The sequence below is a fragment of the Homo sapiens genome, chromosome 10 (genome assembly GCF_000001405.40).
Source record: "Homo sapiens chromosome 10, GRCh38.p14 Primary Assembly".
NCBI lineage: Eukaryota > Metazoa > Chordata > Mammalia > Primates > Hominidae > Homo > Homo sapiens.
In genome coordinates, this window is record NC_000010.11 from 2191461 (window position 1) to 2209007 (window position 17547).

General features: G+C 38.0%; 1 pseudogene, besides 2 other annotated features; it reads left to right on the forward strand.

Moving 5' to 3' along the window:
* RNU6-576P (RNA, U6 small nuclear 576, pseudogene) lies at nucleotides 7927–8028 on the forward strand (annotated as a pseudogene).
* Nucleotides 10127–10695: an enhancer, noted in NCBI's record as "OCT4-NANOG-H3K27ac hESC enhancer chr10:2243781-2244349 (GRCh37/hg19 assembly coordinates)". NCBI's record gives its function as "activates a minimal SCP1, AML or CMV promoter by ChIP-STARR-seq in naive H9 embryonic stem cells {active_cell/tissue: H9 hESC(naive)}" and the evidence as "EXISTENCE:reporter gene assay evidence [ECO:0000049][PMID:30033119]".
* Nucleotides 16166–17365: an enhancer, noted in NCBI's record as "BRD4-independent group 4 enhancer chr10:2249820-2251019 (GRCh37/hg19 assembly coordinates)". NCBI's record gives its function as "activates an origin of replication core promoter dependent on BRD2, P300/CBP, MED14 and CDK7 cofactors, and independent of BRD4, by STARR-seq in HCT116 cells {active_cell/tissue: HCT116}" and the evidence as "EXISTENCE:reporter gene assay evidence [ECO:0000049][PMID:35650434]".

A 17547-nucleotide genomic window follows, 5' to 3' on the forward strand; every position in this document is an offset into this window, starting at 1 on the left:
ATCGCCATCTTGGGTTTCCTCTCTTCTCCTTCCTGTGAGAATCTTCTGTTTTCCCTGTACCTTATATATATATATTTTTCATGATTTATGCCTTCATTTCTGTGAAGGACATCCTCAGGTAGTTTCTGGTAATAGATGTACGGGGATTTTTTATTTTTAATTCATTAATAATGGTAGTGTCTTCACTGTATCTTCTCATTTGACTAGGAGTTTGTCTGAATTCTAACTTAGAAATATTTTTTCTTCAGTGTTATGAAATCATTTCTTCAATGTTTTCTAATCTCTAGTGTTGTTTTTGAGAAATCTAAAGGTATTCTAATGCCTATTTCCTGAGGTAAGAACCTCTTCTTTTTGGACTACTTAATTGAATCCCTCCTTCCCATCTTCTCTCTTATTTTTTTTCTGTCTGAGACTCCTGTTATTACTGTAGTAAGACTTTTAGGATTAGTCCTTGTTCCCTCTCCCTGTGTTCCTGTGTTTTTGCTCTGTCTTCTGGGAGAATTTCCTAACTATGTCTTCCAAGTTTTTTTTTTTTTTTTTTTTTGAGATGGAGTCTCACTCTGTCGCCCAGGCTGGAGTGCAGTGGCGCAATCTCGGCTCACTGCAAGCTCCGCCTCCCGGGTTCACGCCATTCTCCTGACTCAGCCTCCCGAGTAGCTGGGACTACAGGCGTCCGCTGCCACGCCCGGCTAATTTTTGTATTTTTAGTGGAGATGGGGTTTCACCGTGTTAGCCAGGATGGTTCAATCTCCTGACCTCGTGATCCGCCCACCTTGGCCTCCCAATCACAGCTGGGATTACAGGCGTGAGCCACTGCGCCTGGCCTGTGTCTTCCAAGTTTTTAATTGAGGTTCCCTGTAATTCTCAGAAGCATGTCCTTATGAGTCACACACTATTCTTACCTCATGTGTACAGTAACTTCTCTTGTTTTTCTGAGAATCTTATGATAATATGCTTGACATTCTCTCTCTCTCTCTCTCTCTCTCTAGTTGTCCAGGCTGAAGTGCAGTGGCATGATCATGGATCACTGCAGCCTCGACCTCCTGGGCTCATGCAATTCTCCCTCCTCAGCCTCCCGAATAGATGGGACCACAGGCACACACCATACCTGGCTCCTGGCTTTTTTTCTTCCTCCTTTAAGTTGTTTACTGGTTTTCTGATTTGTATAAACTTTCTATTTCGCATCATAGACTTTCCTCAGGCATCAGGACATCCATAATTCTTTATTTATAAATAAAAAAGATGAAATCAGCTGCTATTTGGAAGTTCTGAGCCAGAGATGGGTTTTCTGAACATTGAGCTTGGTCATGAGATGGATTGTTTGCTGTGGAGGACACAATGTCATGTCTTTATTTTTTCTCTTTGGCAGTTGAGATTTTTCATAAAACTGTCATCTCATCTTTGTCTGAAAAGTAGGAATTCATCTAACTGTGCCCTGGGACTAGCTCTGGAAAGACCACTAGCAGCCAGCATCTGGTGTGCAGAGGTTGGTCTGCTTCTCATTTGCAAAATGGCAGCTGTGCCCTCAGCCTCGGTGGCTTCTGCCTGTCTGAGAACCTCCGTGACTCCCTCTCACAGAGTCAACCTGAGCATATTGGAGTGAAACAGAACAGGTGCAGCCACTGGATACCTGGAGATGGCGAAAACAATCTGGGGGCTGAACGGCTTCACAGGAAGAGTCCATGTTCTTGTCCTAGTCAGGGTTCTGCAGAGAAGCAGAAGCCATATGATGTGTCTGTGCGGGCATGCGTGTGAGTGTGTATATGTAATAAGGGATTGGCTCTCATGACCATGGAGGAGACCATGTCATCTGCAGTCAGCAACGTGAAGACCCAGGAGAGCCAATGATTTAGGTCCAGTCTGAGTCTGAAGGCCCAAAGACCAGGAGAGCTGATGGTTTTGTTCTAGTCCAAAGGCTGGCAAACTCAAGACATAAGATCCAGTATTTCAGTTCAAGTCAAAGGCTGAAAAGTGCTGACATCCCAGTTTAAAGGCCATCAGTTAACAGAGATCGCCCTTAATTGCGGAGATGTCAGCCCTTTATTCATATTTAGGTATTCAGCTGGTTAGATGAGGCCCACCTGCATCAGGGAGGCCAGCATGCTTTACTCGGTCCGCCAACTTAAATGTTAACCGCATCTAAAAACACCCACCCTGGCACCTCCAGAATAATGAACGTTTGACCAAATATCTGGGCATCCTGTGGCCCAGCCAAGCTGACACATAATTAACCCTCACAGTCTACCTCTTCGATGCAGTCCTATTTTTCATCCCGAATTCCAACAGCACTGGGGGTCCCTGCACCTTTTGAGAATCTGCATGTATTTATTTATGTATGTATTTGTTTGTTTTTTTGTTTTCTGAGACAGAGTCTCACTCTGTCACCCCAGCTGGAGTGCAGTGGTGCATGGCTTACTGCAGCCTGACCTCTCAGGCTCAAGCTATGCTCCCACTTCAGCTTCCTAAGTAGCTGGGACCAAAGGCATGCATCACCATGCCCACCTAATTTTTTTATAATTTTTGTAGAGACAGGGTCTTGCCATGTTGCCTACGCTGGTCTTGAATTCCTGGGCTTGAGCGATCCACCCACCTTGGCCTCCCAAAGTCCCTGGATTACAGGTGTGAGCCAACGTGCCCAGGCTTGAGGATCTGCATTTAAATCACATTGTTTTCCATCTTCCCTCACCATGAGCTTGTGGTGCCTATTTGGATCTGCTAGATGAATTTCTACTCAACTGTTTTATTTCCAGATTACAATATTGTTGAATGGCTTTCTGCTCCCCTGATGGTCACCTCTTTGTGGGTTTGCATATTTATTTTTAAATGCCTTTGCCATGGTACTGAGGACTTGGAAGAAGGATCTATTAGACACATTCAATCTATTTCCACTTTCTGAACTCTAAAGTGTCTTTACTTAATAAACATAGTAACTTGCTCATTCAACGTATGAAGGTTAAATTAAGATGTAATATTATTTTATCTCTGCTGTATGTGCTCAAGAGATATTTAATTAATGGAATTTTGTGTATGCACGTATCTTAATTAACACAGGTATGAATTATGTGTGCTTACCTCTACCTATAAATATCAATGCATTTGAGTATATGTGTAATATGTGGTAATATTCTTTTACATAAGTTGGTAAGTGTACCTACCATCATTCCCTTGGAAAACTGATGGCTAAAATACTATAAAAGATAAGTATGTTTAAGTAGTTATAAGCAAAGTACATATGTATATATATGTAGAATAAATATTGTATTTTTCTGTTAGAATTGAAAATCTTAGGTTGTACTAGAGTCCTTCAATTTTTATGCTAAGTATTGGTTGTAACCTGAATATGATAGTAGTTAGCATGAACGCTGAAATCATAGTTTTGCCATTTGAAATATGACTGAGTGAGGTAATAGTGTTCTTTGGTGAGCATTTTGAGTTTTGTGCTTCACATCTGTAAACTGATAAAATCCTATTATGCCTTCCAGCTGTGATGCTTATACCGTGGGCTGCAGAATTATAAGATTAAACATTCTACATAAGCATTAAGAATCGTCTGCACCTCTGCAGGGCTATCCTAAGTTGTTATTAACTTCAGACATCTTTTCTCACCCAAAGCAAGCTCACACATCTTGGAAAGTGCTTGTCATTTTCATTTGTCTTATTTTTACTGTCCACCTTCTTTGTACCTCTGTACCTCCCTATGTGAAACTATTTCTGGTTATGGATCCTCTTCTAGAATTAGTTGATTAAATTATAGACTCTTATTCTGAATTCCTTGACTACTGTCAAAACATATTTGTGTCAAGGTTTCAATCCCTGTCATCATCTGAGAAGCCTTGATTAGTTCACGTTGCAGACTTTCTGTTTATAATGAGAGCATTTCTTAGCATCTTGACCTTTCAGATCATTTATATCAAAACTAATATTCCAGGGCTTTATGTTTTAATGAATATACAGTTGTCAACACTTTTCATCTTCTTTTTATACTCTAAATCATGCTACTTTCAGTAAGCTATTTCTTTCTAATTATTTTTTATGTTCAGATGGTAAAAAATAATGGAATTACTTACAGTTTTATTATTGATACATAGGATTTGGTTTGCAAATGTATAATATGCAATGACAATGTATGGTAATATAAACTATATGTAAGTTACGAAGCATAATGATGGAAGATGTATTCATGAACTCATCATACAAATTAAGAAATAAAATATTTGTTATATCACTAAACTACCCACGTGCTCCTTTTCAAATCCTATCCTCTCGTCTTAACTGGAGAAGACAGCATGATCTTGGATTTTGTTGTTGTTGTTTTTTTTCTCTTTGTTATTCTTTAGCTTTATCACAGAATATATCCCTACACATTCTACCATTTGGTTCTTGTATCTTTGATTTTATATAAATGGTATGCAGCCTTCTGCTATAGATGTAAAGTAACTTTTGATTAGTATTAGAAAGTGCCTGCTTTAATTTTAATCACATATTCAGTGAGATAAAAGGTAAAATGTAGAATCTCAATGGAGAATTGGAAAGTATCAAAAGCAAACTAGATCGGAAAATGCAAACAAACAAACAAAAACAAAACAAAAAACAAACAAACAAAAAGCCATATTCGAGATTTAGACTTTGGTGTTTGATTTAAAGTTAGATTAGAGATCATTAGGAAAAGTGGAGCAAGGACCTCCAAAAACACTTCTTTCCATAAAAACAACAAGAACATTTCCCCAAAATTACCAAAATAAACTTTATTAAAACTCCAGAACATAACCAAAGGCTTATACTCATCTGGAAGTACTTATATTGAAGAAAACCAGCTAACTCTGGGTAGAAGAGTGAGTTTTGTGATATTTTTACTTGCTCTATTCACATCACCCTCTGCTAGCTCCATGACAGCCTTGAAAATCAAATGCTGTGATCACAACTAGCAGCAAAGCAGCCACTCAAAGGCTTAGAACGGAACTTGGCCTTTTTCAAAGTCCCAATCTCAGACGACTGTCATCATCTGACCTGTCTGGACTTGCTGTAGAAAGTCTCATTTGTAAGGCTTGTCTTCCGTTCACCTGGTGCAGACATTGCCCAGGGTGAACAGCCTTTTCTCAGAGGGTGTTTGTCAAAAACACAAACAAACAAAAGTAACTGTTCAATAACATAGCTGCCTGAGATTGGGAGAACCCTTGAAACAAAAACAAGCTAAGTCGAAACCTTGAAAGTGAAATCTGGGGAAGAAGGTATTCCTGGGAGCTTTCAGAAGCTGCATTGGCTCCTGGGCATCCATAAGCCCAAGCACAAGCTTGGGTCTCTGCACATGGCCAGGGCTGTGCGATCTTCAGGGCAGGACAGAGAAGGACATACACACTCACTTCTGCTGAACCTGAAGGCTCTGCACAAACACGAAGTGAGGGCTGAGGCAGAGTTGTAAAGTAATGCACACCATGGCATGCCATAAAAACTTGTAAAAAGCCAAAGACAGAGAAAATACATTGAAAACAGCAAGAGAGAATCAACTCATTGCATACAACGAAGCCTCAATGAGATTACAGTTTATTTATCTTCAGAAACTATGGTGTCCAGAAGTCAGTAGGTTGATGTATTGAAAGCACAGAAGGAAAGAAAGAAAGAAAGAAAGAGGCCATTAACCAATAATTATCTGTGCAGCACAACTCTTTTCACAAATGGAGAAAACACATTGCAAGATAAAAGCAAAAACAAAAACAAAACAAAACGTAAATAATTAGTCATTTTATTAGTCTTGCAAGTAATAGTGAAGGTAGCTCTTCAGGCAGAAATAAAATGACCCTAGACAGTAACTCAAATCTACATGAAGAAACAAAGGGCACTGATGAAAGGAATTGCATAGTTAAGTAAAAAAGACAATATAAATATATTTTTTGTTAATGACATTATCTCTCTTGTTTGATTTGAAAAAAATTAGATAAAGTAATAATTATAAGACTGCACTGATGGGGTACAAAAGATAAAATATATATTATTTTTATGGAAAATAATAAAAATAAATTTAAGGGAAAGGAGCCTTATGAAGAGAGACTAAAATAATCTCAATAAAACACTGGTAAATAGAATTCGGCAGCATATTTAAAAGACTATAGAGCATGATAGCTATGGTTTCAACTTTTAAGTTTCCTTAAAAGTTTATGTGTTGAAAACCTAATCCCCAATGCAGCAGTGTTGATATCTGTGGTCTTTAAGAGGTGATTAGGTCATGAAAGCCAAGTCCTCATGAATGACTTAAAGCCATTATTACAGCCATGGGTTAGTGATTGTGAGAGTGGGTTTGTAATAAAAGCAGCCCCCTATTGTTCTTTCTGTCCCATGTCTTGCTTCTGCCTTTCCACCTTCCACCATGTAACTAGGCAACAAGAAGACCCTCACCAGATGTCTGGGCAGATGCTGGTGCCATGCTGTTGGACTTCACAGCCTCCAGAAGCCAAATAAATCTCTATTCTCTATAAATTACCCAGTCTATGGTATTCTGTTATAGTATCAGAAAACAGTCTAAGAAAATGACCAAGTGAGACTTTCCCCAAAACTGCAAGGTTGGTTTCCTGTTAGAAAATTAATTGAAGTAATGTATTTTATCAAGAAAACAAAAGCCCAAAATTACATAATCATCTCTATAGACACAGAAAAAAAATCTGTTAAAATCCAACACCCATTTATGATGAAAATACTCAACAACCAAGAATGGAATAGAGCCCCTCAAACTGATAAAGGGTATCTCAAAATACCCATATCTAATGTTATTCTTAGTCATGAGAGCCCCTTGGGGGTCAACAATAAGACAGAAATGCCCTGTCTTACAATTTATACTCAAATTCTACTTGATTTCTAGCAAGGGCAAGTAGTCAAGTAAAGCATCCAGATTGACAGTAAAGAAGTAAATCCATGTCTATTTGCAAGGACAATCTAATTTATAAAACATCATAATGAATCCACAAAAAAAACCTTTAAAGTTAATAAATACAACCAGCAGGATTGTAGCCTACAAGATCAGTATAAAAAATCAATTGTAACTTTATTTAAAATAGCATCCAAAATGAAACATTTTAAAATAAATTTAACAAAAGAAGTGAATATGTGTACAGTGAAGGCTGCAAAGCATCACTGAAATAAATTAAAAACCCAATTGAATGGAATCTAGTCTATGCTCACTGATTGGAATTTCTATATTGTTTAGATGACAATATGCTCCAAGATGATGTACAGATTGAATACAATTACTATTGAAACCTACCTTTGTTTTTGCATTAAGTAATAAAATGATCCTAAAATTCACATGGAAAATTGAGGTACCCCAAAACCAAAAAAAAAAAGAAAACTTAAAAAATAATAATTTTGGAGAACTTCTAAGTTCTTATTTCAATACTTACTATGAAGATAAAGGTAGACAGAATAAACAATAAAAGAGGAAGATAATCTTGATTGTCTCTAAGCTAATATTTTGAATTTAAATGAAATGTTCAAGTACCCAGAAAAAATGGAAAATCAGCAAAGCTGACTGAGAAATAGAAAATCTGAAAGGCCTAAAAATTGCAGTGCAATTTAAGCTTTATTTAAAAACATTCCAATGAAGAAATTCCCCCAAACTGTAATTCAACATGGTTTACAAAATATTAAGTAATTCCAAATTTAGAAAACTCTTTCCAAAATTAAAATACAGAATACTAATGATCTTGTCATGAGACCAGTATTGCCTTCATATGAAAATCAAAGCAATGAAAATATAAAAATATTATCCTCCCCAAATAGATTACTTACAACTCTAATGCAAATCTCAGTAGATTACCCTGTACAATTTGATAAGAAAATGCTAAAATTTCCACGAGGATGAAAAGGTCAGAAATAGACAAATTTTAAAGAAGGAGCAAATTGTGGAATAATTTGTTTTACTGGATACCAAGATTTTTATAGTTATAGCAATTAAGATAATATGGTGTTTTGATATAGAGAAGATTAGCATGGCCCCAACGCAAGGATGACATGCAAATTTGTGAAGCGTTCCATGTTTTTGAGTCATCATGAACAGATGAATAAAGGGCTCTTTTTGTCTTTTTCTGAAAAATAATAAAAAATATTTTCCTTTCTTCAAGGAAGTGAATATTTTGTAGCTGAAGGAATGGCTTCCAAAGAGTATGAATAAGTTCAGTTATAAAAGATACCAGTAAAGAAAAATAAAACAAAATAAATAAAATGGAGGAAGCATACCCCCCGGTTTAAGACAAAAAAAGAAAAGATAATATGGTGTTTCTACAATGATAGAGAAATACTACAATAAAATTGAATGGAAAACCCAGAATCATACCCATTCATAAAAACCATAGACTCAAAACAAAACTGTCACTGCAGTCAATGGAAAAATTATGGCCTTTTCAATAAGCAGAACTTGGTTAATTGTATAGTCATAGTAAAAAATATATATATTTGCATTTTTTATGTATTTTGTATATACACACACACACACACACACACACACACACACACACATATACTTAAATCTCTAAGACATAGCTTCCTACTTCACATCGTATAAATATAGGAAGTATTATAGATGTAAGTAAGAAAGATAGGATAAATATATCTTTTAGATTCTAAAATATTTTCATTTTTGATTAAAAAAGTCACCTTGAATAGGACTTAAAAGCATTAACTGTAAGTGCAAATGCTGATAAATTTAACAATGCTACAATTAAGAACTTTTACTTACCAAAGGACAAATGGATAGAATAAAAAGGCACACCACAGCGGGTAAAATATATTTACAGGCCAGGGGCGGTGGCTCATGCCTGTAGTCCCAGCACTTTGGGAGGCTGAGGCAGGTGGATCACCTGGGGTCAGGAGTTTGAGACCAGGCTGACCAACAGGATGAAACCCATCTCTACTACAAATACAAAAAATTAGCTGGGTGTGGTGGCAGGAGCCTGCAATCCCAGCTATCAGGAGGCTGAGGCAGAAGAATCGCTTGAATCCAGGAGGCAGAAGTTGCAGTGAGCTGAGATCACTCCATTGCACTCCAGCCTGGGCAACAAGAGTGAAACTCCATCTTAAAATTTTTTTTTTTACAAAATATATGACTGGCAATGGCTTTGAATGCAGAAAATATGCAATGTGAAACATTTACAAGCACTCCTGAAAACAAATTTGCGTAATTTACTAAACATGAATAAATTCATGTTCTAAGACTCAGAGATACTATTTTCAAATCTATTTCCCAACAGAAATATGTTCACATATGCTTGAAGATACATGTATAAGAATGCTTAAGACAGTATTTTTTATTCAAGCCATAAACTGGAAAAATTACCTCAAAAGTGATTACAGACAAATATATTGTGGTACGTTCATTTAGTGGAGTACAGCAATCACAACAAATAAAATACCACTCATGCAACAAAATAGGTGATTCTCACAAAAATAAAGAACACCTAGAATTCTGCCTTTATAAAAGAAAAATAAATAGAAAAAAATGAAACTCCAGTGTTGAGGAACAAATGTGAGAGTGTAATATTACAAGGAAAAGTAAGTCAGTAATTTTCATAAGTCAGGAGAGAAGAGATGGGGAGTGAGCCCTCGAAGAGGTTCTAGAGTGGAGTGCTAGCACGTTGGGTTTCCTGACTTGTGTGGTGCTGTGTTTGTTATAATGCATTGAGTTTTATTCTGTTTATCTATCTATCTATCTATCTATCTATCTATCTATCTATCTATCTGGCTATCTGTCTATCTCTTTATTTTTGAGACAGGGTCTGGCTATGACCCAAGGTGGAGTGCAGTGGTGCAATCTTGGCTCACTGCAGCCTCGACCTCCCCAGGCTCGGGACCTCCCAGGCTCAGGTCATTCTCCCACCTTAGCATCCCAAGTAGCTGGGACTACAGGTGCACACCACCAAGCAGCTGATTTGTGTATTTTTTAATAGAGATGGGATTTCACCATGTTGCCCAGGCTGGTCTAGGAAGATGAAGATTCACATGGTACTGACATTTTTGTAAGGCAACATCTGATATATAATACCTGCTTTGAATTCCTTACTTATAAATTGGAATAAAAATAGCCCTGTTCACAAAAAAAAGCCAAACTCTGTAAAATATTTGAAGAGGTTTATTCTGAGTCAGATTAGAGAAACATGGCCCGGGACACAGCTTCAGGAGGTCCGAAGAATATGTGCCCTGGGTGGTTGGGTTATAGATTGGTTTTACACATTTTAGCGGACAGGCGTTACAGGCAAAGACATAGATCAATACACGCAAGTTACACATTGGCTCAGCCTGGAAAGGCAGGACATCTCAAAGCAGGGATCTTCCAGGTTCTAGGTAGATTCAAAGATTTTCTGATGGGCAGTTGGTTGAAAGAGTGAAGCCCTGCTTAGAGAGTTAAAGTCAGCATAAAGAAATGCTTGAGTTAAGACAAGGGGGTGGGGGTGGTGGAAGCCCAGGCTCTTGTCATGTAGATGAAGCCTCCAGGTAACAGGCTTCAGAGAGAATAGAAGGTAAACAAACACCGCATGTTCTCACTCATAGGTGGGAATTGAACAATGAGAACACATGGACACAGGAAGGGGAACATCACACACCAGGGACTGTTGTGGGGTGGGGGGAGGGGGGGAGGGACAGCATTAGGAGATATACCTAATGCTAAATGAGGAGTTAATGGGTGCAGCACACCAACATGGCACATGTATACATATGTAACAAACCTGCACATTGTGCACATGTACCCTAAAACTTAAAGTGTAATAATAATAAAATTTTTTTAAAAATGTCTCTTATTGGACCTTAGAAGGTGTCGGCTCTCTGGAAAAGACCTAGGGAGGGACCAGCATCCTTTTTACACTTGTACTTTTACTTGCGCTTTTTACAGACTGCAAATTTCCCCCATAAGAGATGGCTTTGCAGGCCATTCCAAAATTGCCAAATAAATATTTTTTGTGGTAAAATACTTGGATTTGCTTTAGGGTCTGCGATGTGTCATGTGGTGCTATACCAGAGTCAGTTTGGGATTTGGTGTCTTACTGCTACAAAGAGCCTGCTTTGTCAGTCTCCAGATCTCTGTTTTAACGTGAATGCTGGTCAGTTGTGCCTGAATTCCAGAGGGAGCAGGGTGTAATGAGGCATGTCTGCCTCTCCCTTCCTGTCATGGCCTGAACTAGTTTTCAGGTCTCTTTGCAATTCCTTCGGCCAAGAAGGCGGGGCCGTTCAGTCCATCGGCGGACTAACAATTTTATTTTTGCTTTACAGTCTGTACCTCATGAAGTTGTTGGTATGTACTTTTAAATGGATTCGAACAGGAAAAAGCACTTGGAATTGTGTCTGACACATAACAAGCACTCAATAAATGTCAGCTTTTGTTGCCATTAGCCTAATTTTCAGTGTCATCCCTGTTATAAAAGGATTTATATCTCTTCTTGTAGCATAAACGCAGGCAGATTTGGCACTTAACTAATGATGAGTAAAGTAATCAACAATAGCTAATGTACACTGAAAAAAATAACATTAGATTTTGTCTCTGGTCAACTTTCCCTATTATATTTTTGCAGAAGCAAACAAACATGTTCTGAATTCTATCAAATGGTATAAAATACAGTGCTCCTTTGAGCACAATAGGGCTTTAAGTGCAAATATACAACGAGTTAGTAACACTGAAACTTTGGCAATGGCTAATCAATATTTTACTTGCTTCAGGGTCCAAGACTACTTGATTTTTTTTTCTTTCTTTCTTTCTTTCTTTTTTTTTTTGAGACATAGTTTCCCTCTTTTTGCTGAGGCTGGAATGCAATGGCACGATTTCGGCTCACTGCAACCTCCGCCTCCTGGGTTCAAGTGATTCTCCTGCCTCAGCGTCCCAAGTAGCTGGGATTTCAGTCTTGTGCTACCATGCTCAGCTAATTTTTTAATATTTTTAGTAGAGATGAGGTTTCACCATGTTAGCCAGGCTGGTCTTGAACTCCTGACCTCAGGTGATCCACCTACCTTGGCCTCCCAAAGTGCTGGGATTACGGGCATGAGCCACCGCGCCCGGCTGGCTGCTCTTTAAGATAAGAAAAATGGAGCATTTGGGGTCAATAAAAAGTAGAAAAAATTACATCTATGAATGTATGGAAAAAAAGATAATATTTCAACCACCATTAATGTGGCAGTTTTTTCTTGTAAATTTCTTTATGGGTCATGGATTTTATAATTTTGTAACACTATCTGAAGCTATTCTCTCAATGTTTTCTCATTATTTATATGACCATTGTCAAACATTTATGTGCCATTTATCAAAAAAAAAAAAAACCAACTCCATTTACATTTCAACATGCAGTTTTTTAAGATCTTCCCCCAACACCTGTAATTGACTTATTGACACTTCATATATGCTGTGCTCTAATTTATTTCCACCTAATCATCATCAATATTTTCAAAGGATAAACACAGGACACTTTGGTTTTCCTATGAATTTTTCATTTTGTTTTCTTTTATCTCAGTTATAGGAAAGAAGGGAAGATGTGGTAGGATGAGATGATGACTACATCATGGGAATTCATCTGGGGAAAGAACATTTAAAAAGTGACATGCCATCTACTTTGAAGAGTCAAGGAAAATATACTTCAAACTGGGTGTGAAGGAAGAGAACAGTAATAGCTCAGAGCTGACCAATGATCAGACCCACATGAGGTGCAAGGAACACACTTTACTTACTTGCACGACCACACAGAGCTGGAAATCCTTCTGCTTCACGTAATGGTCTTGTTATATTCTTTCTTTTAGCAATAGCATTTTGAGTGAGATTTCCTAGGTTGATTCATAGATATGGTTTTCTGCCATAAAACTGTCAGAGGCATGTGAACCAGAGCAATTCCATCTTGAATAGGGACTGGGTAAAATAAGGCTGAGACCTGCTGGGCTGCATTCCCAGATGGTTAAGGCATTCTAAGTCACAGGATAAGACAGGAGGTCAGCACAGGATACAGATCATAAAGACCTTTGCTGAGAAAACCGGTTGCAGTAAAGAAGCCAGCTCTAATCCACCCAAACCAAGATGGCAACAAGAGTGACGTCTGGTTGTCCTCACTGTTACAGTCTCATTAGCCCCATGATAATTTACAAATGCTATGGTAACATCAGGAAGTTACCCTATATGGTCTAAAGAGGAGAGGCAGGAATAATCCACCCCTTGTTTAGCATATCATCAAGAAATAACCATAAAAATGGGCAACCAGCAGCCCTTGGGGCTGCTCCATGGAGTAGCCATTCTTTTATTCCTTTATCTTCTTAATAAACTTGTTTTCACTTTATGGACTCGCCCTGAATTCTTTCTTGCACGAGATCCTGTAACAAAAGGGCTGAAAGACATAACCTACTTTTACATGAAATATTCTTAATACCACTTCAAGTAAAACTTTTCAGAAATCTCCAAACACCCTGTTTCTTAGTGAATTCTTAACCTTGTATCTTCCTTTTTCCTCCTTCGTTGAGACCTAGCAAAATTATTTTTAATCGCATGTGTATACAGACCCACCCTTATATTCATTATCACATTATTTATTAAATGTGCATTCTTAATGTAAATGCCAAATAGTATTCTTGGAATCAGATCTCAAAAAAAAAAAATAAAATCCCAAAGAAATTGTGAGAATGTAAAGTATTGTTGGAGAAAGTACATATCTTTGATCTTCATTGAATTTCCACACTATCCTAGAATGTGATTTATTTTTATCTCACGCCTGAAGTAAGGAAATTATTTTGTTGTGGATTCACTGAGATAAGAGTTGGAGGTGTGTGGCCCCAACTTGAGGAGAAAAACTTGTGATTGCAGCTCAGAACAGAGACCTCGCCCAAGGATCTGCTTCTCTTTACACAGGACTGTTTTCCTTTTGAGGCTACACCTCCCTTCTGTGAATTCCCTGATGATATTAGAGATGTTTTCATGCTAAGAGCTTCATGCCACACAGAGATGGTTGTGATCAGAGCTTTGTGAAGCCATCGTCCTCACACAGTCCTGGGAGTGAAATCCAGAGTGAAGCTTGGCTTATCCATCAGCAAAGGTATCCTTTGTTCTATGACTGGGAGAGGATGGCTTCTGTGAAAATACTGCTTTTCATTTCACCAGACCTCAAAGTGATGCAGAAAAATATTTTGCCCTGTCATCTGTGCTTCTTTACCTTTCATGGCAGGGCTAATTTTTCAGTTCTAATGACAACTTCACTGTAACATCAATCAAGTATAAAAGCTGTCTCTGTCAGAGAGGAAAGACCCTTTATGCAAAAAAAATTTGATGCGGAAAAAAAAGTTAAGCCATACAGCAATTAGAAACACATTTTGGATGTATTTTTTTCCCTCCCTTTTCAAGGGCAAAAACAAAGAAAAATTACTTTTAGGGCAACGGTATGTGTGTTCTCAGACTATGCCAAATGTGTCATATGTTTGCAAAGTGCCTCCTCCGTTTAAAGGTATACTCTTTCATTTAGAAATACTTTACCTAAACAAACTCTTAAGGAATTTGGGTGGGAAATGTAAAAGTTAGAAACATTTAAATTATTAAAATTAAGTATTTAAAATTCAACATGTATATGTTTTATTACATGTTGATATCACAGAAAGGAAAACAGTCCTGTGTAAAGAGAAGCAGATCCTTGGGCGACGTCTCTGAGATTTTATCATGATAGATACATCTAAGAAATAGATTTGTTAGATAAATATTTACGATTAACTCAATGCTTTTAATTTTAAAAATACAAAGTGAATTTCAATCTATAAAAATATTTTTATCGAATGAGAAAGTAAGTCTGTATGAATTAGAAATCAGAAGAACTAATTTTTATACAATAAGTAGGCATGAGACAAATTAACTACATTAAAGCTTGCAAGAATCTCAGGAAATAAGTGTACGGAGAAAAAACAGCAACATTTTATTTTAGTATGAAGATTGACTTATTTGCCCTAATAATGAGCTTCTGTATTTTTTCCCGTTTTTCTAGATATTTATTATCATATAATGAGGCACAGTTAATATAAAACATGTGTTATTTTAAAACATTAACAGCAGACTCTCAAACTGTGACCTTACAGATCTGAAGGACCATATGTAGATATTGACCCAGACCAAGTAGCAGTGTTGTTGGTTTTTTTTTTTTTTTTTTTTTCTGTGAAGGGCAAAAGAGTAAATAGCTTAGGCTTTGAGACCGTAAGGTCTACACTGGTTCAACTCTGTAGCGGTCATAGACCATATGAAAATGAATGGGCACAGCTGTATTCCAATCAAACTTTTTTTCATAAATGTAGGCAGTGGGCTAGCTTTGTTCTGCAAGCCATAGTTTGCTGACCCCTCTTCTGTAGCATGTTTTTCAAATAGTCATGCACAACGTGCTTTAAAATCATCTGGATTTTCTTCAGGGGTGAATTTAGTTTTTATAGTGACTGAACATTATAAATTAGAGAAGATTTTCTTTAAGAAAAAAGAACAAAATTGTGAATATAAATTAGGAAGGTAGCTACTTAGTGTTAGAAATGAAATCATACTGAATATCATAAAATTATAAAATCCAGAAAATATTATAGTATTTGTATCAATTGTCTGAAATATCTCACTAACACATCTTTCCTATATTTTTTGGCTCATACTTTTTCATCTCTTTTTGATTTGTAACGTCACTTACTACACAAGTAGTAGAAAGTTCACGTCCACTTTTCTAACACACTTATTAAAGTTTGTTAGTAATAGGTACAAATAAATTGTTTTCCATATAACATAGATGTGATATTGGTCATGTCCTGCAAATAATCCAGGACTACTATCAATTTTGAAAAAAAATAAAAAAAGAAACAAGAAAAAACCCCTCCACCAAATGTCCGGTGTAGACCCATGAGGTTTGAGTGTGTTTTCCACGGACCTGTCCTGGCTCTGCACATTTCTAACCCCGTTTCCTCTGCATCCTCTACGTGTTGTCTTGCCTGTGCCCCAGCACGGAAAGCCACTGAGCTCCGCACGTGTGTGACAGGTGGTTGGACTGGCTGAGAGGGGCAGGAGACGGCTCTCCCCCACCCACGAGAAACATCGGGTGATGGTTCAGCAATAATTGCATTGCCTCTCTGAGGGTGATAATCCAGCAGTGCCGGGGAGGCGCCCTTTCCTGATGGTCCACACCTATTAACATCAAAATGTTCATTGAATGCGGGCCTCAGGGAGAAGAAACTTTCTGTGGATGCGCACTAAGAGACGAAAATGGCGATGTAGGATCTTGAGGGTACACAGCACCGGAAACGGGAAGGAAACCTCAGCGGGACCTGTGTTGTCCGTCCCTAAGCACACTGCGCATGCGCATTTCCCAGGGCAAGGAGGGCTCTGCGCATGCGGACAGTGCACCCTGAGGGAAGAATCATGGAAAAGGGGTGAGTCTATCAAAATCTTAAGATCACGGTTAAACCGGACACTTGACCTCTCTTTAACCTTCATGTGCCAGGGCACCTTTCGTTCTTTCCTGTTATAAGCCCTCTTTAAGTAGACTTCCATTCCTGCCATAGAACTTGCCTCCGTCTCTTTTCCTGCTTTATGCCCCTCAGTCAAATTAGTCAAATTCTTTTTTCTGAGGAGACAAGGGCTGAAGTTGCTACGAACCCATTGGGATTTGAGCTGGTAACTCAGGTCTCTGCCACCGGTAATACGTGGGTGCTGCCAGGGTCCTGGTGCTGTGAATCAACCTAGAGAGGAACAGGCCAGAGCTATCCCTATAGGCAGAAACTATCCCTATAGACAGCAGGAAGCGGCTTCACCAAACTGAACTCAGAAGTGACCCCAGATAAGTCACAGACCGACGTCTCACTCAAAAGAAATGTATTACCAAGTCAGTTTCCCATAACGAATTCTCCCAAACAGCCACGCCCATTACAAAAGGAAGTGTGATGGTGGGAAAGTCATGGCCAAAGGAAGGTCTTTAGTAAGAACAGAAACATCCTACGTTTGCAGAGTTCACAAAGACATTTGACCATGTGTGTGTGCCTGGTCATCTCCCAGACCCTTGGATGCAGCTGTTGTCAGAAAAGGTCACCAGAGCTTTAGCCCCATTCACATCCTAAGAGTCACGTCCAGATTTCCTTCAAATGGAGACCTCGACCCCCATCCCGGATCAGGGGACTGTGAATCTCTGGGCACATGGTCTGGAGGGGCTATGTAATGATCAGAACAACGTTCTGATAGCCCGCAGCAGCCTGGGCCTCCCCTAACATCCAGGGTCGATAAAGATGTTTGGAAAACCAGAGATGTACCTCATTCCAGAATATTGCACAAAGCCCTCTAGTTATAGAAAATCCTCCCTTGTTTGAATCAAAATAAACTATTAAATTTGGGTGTAAGTGATACATGCTTGTATTTTATCAGAGGGTGTATTCGTAGATGCTGAGGAGTTGTTACATCTATAAGTTTATATTGACAATTTCATAATTATTTTAGTTCACAGTTTAAATTTCATAGAGATTTCATACCTTTTGAATACTTATAATAATGCACAGATACAAAATATTTTTTCTTTTTTATATATATAGCTAATTTAGTAGATACAT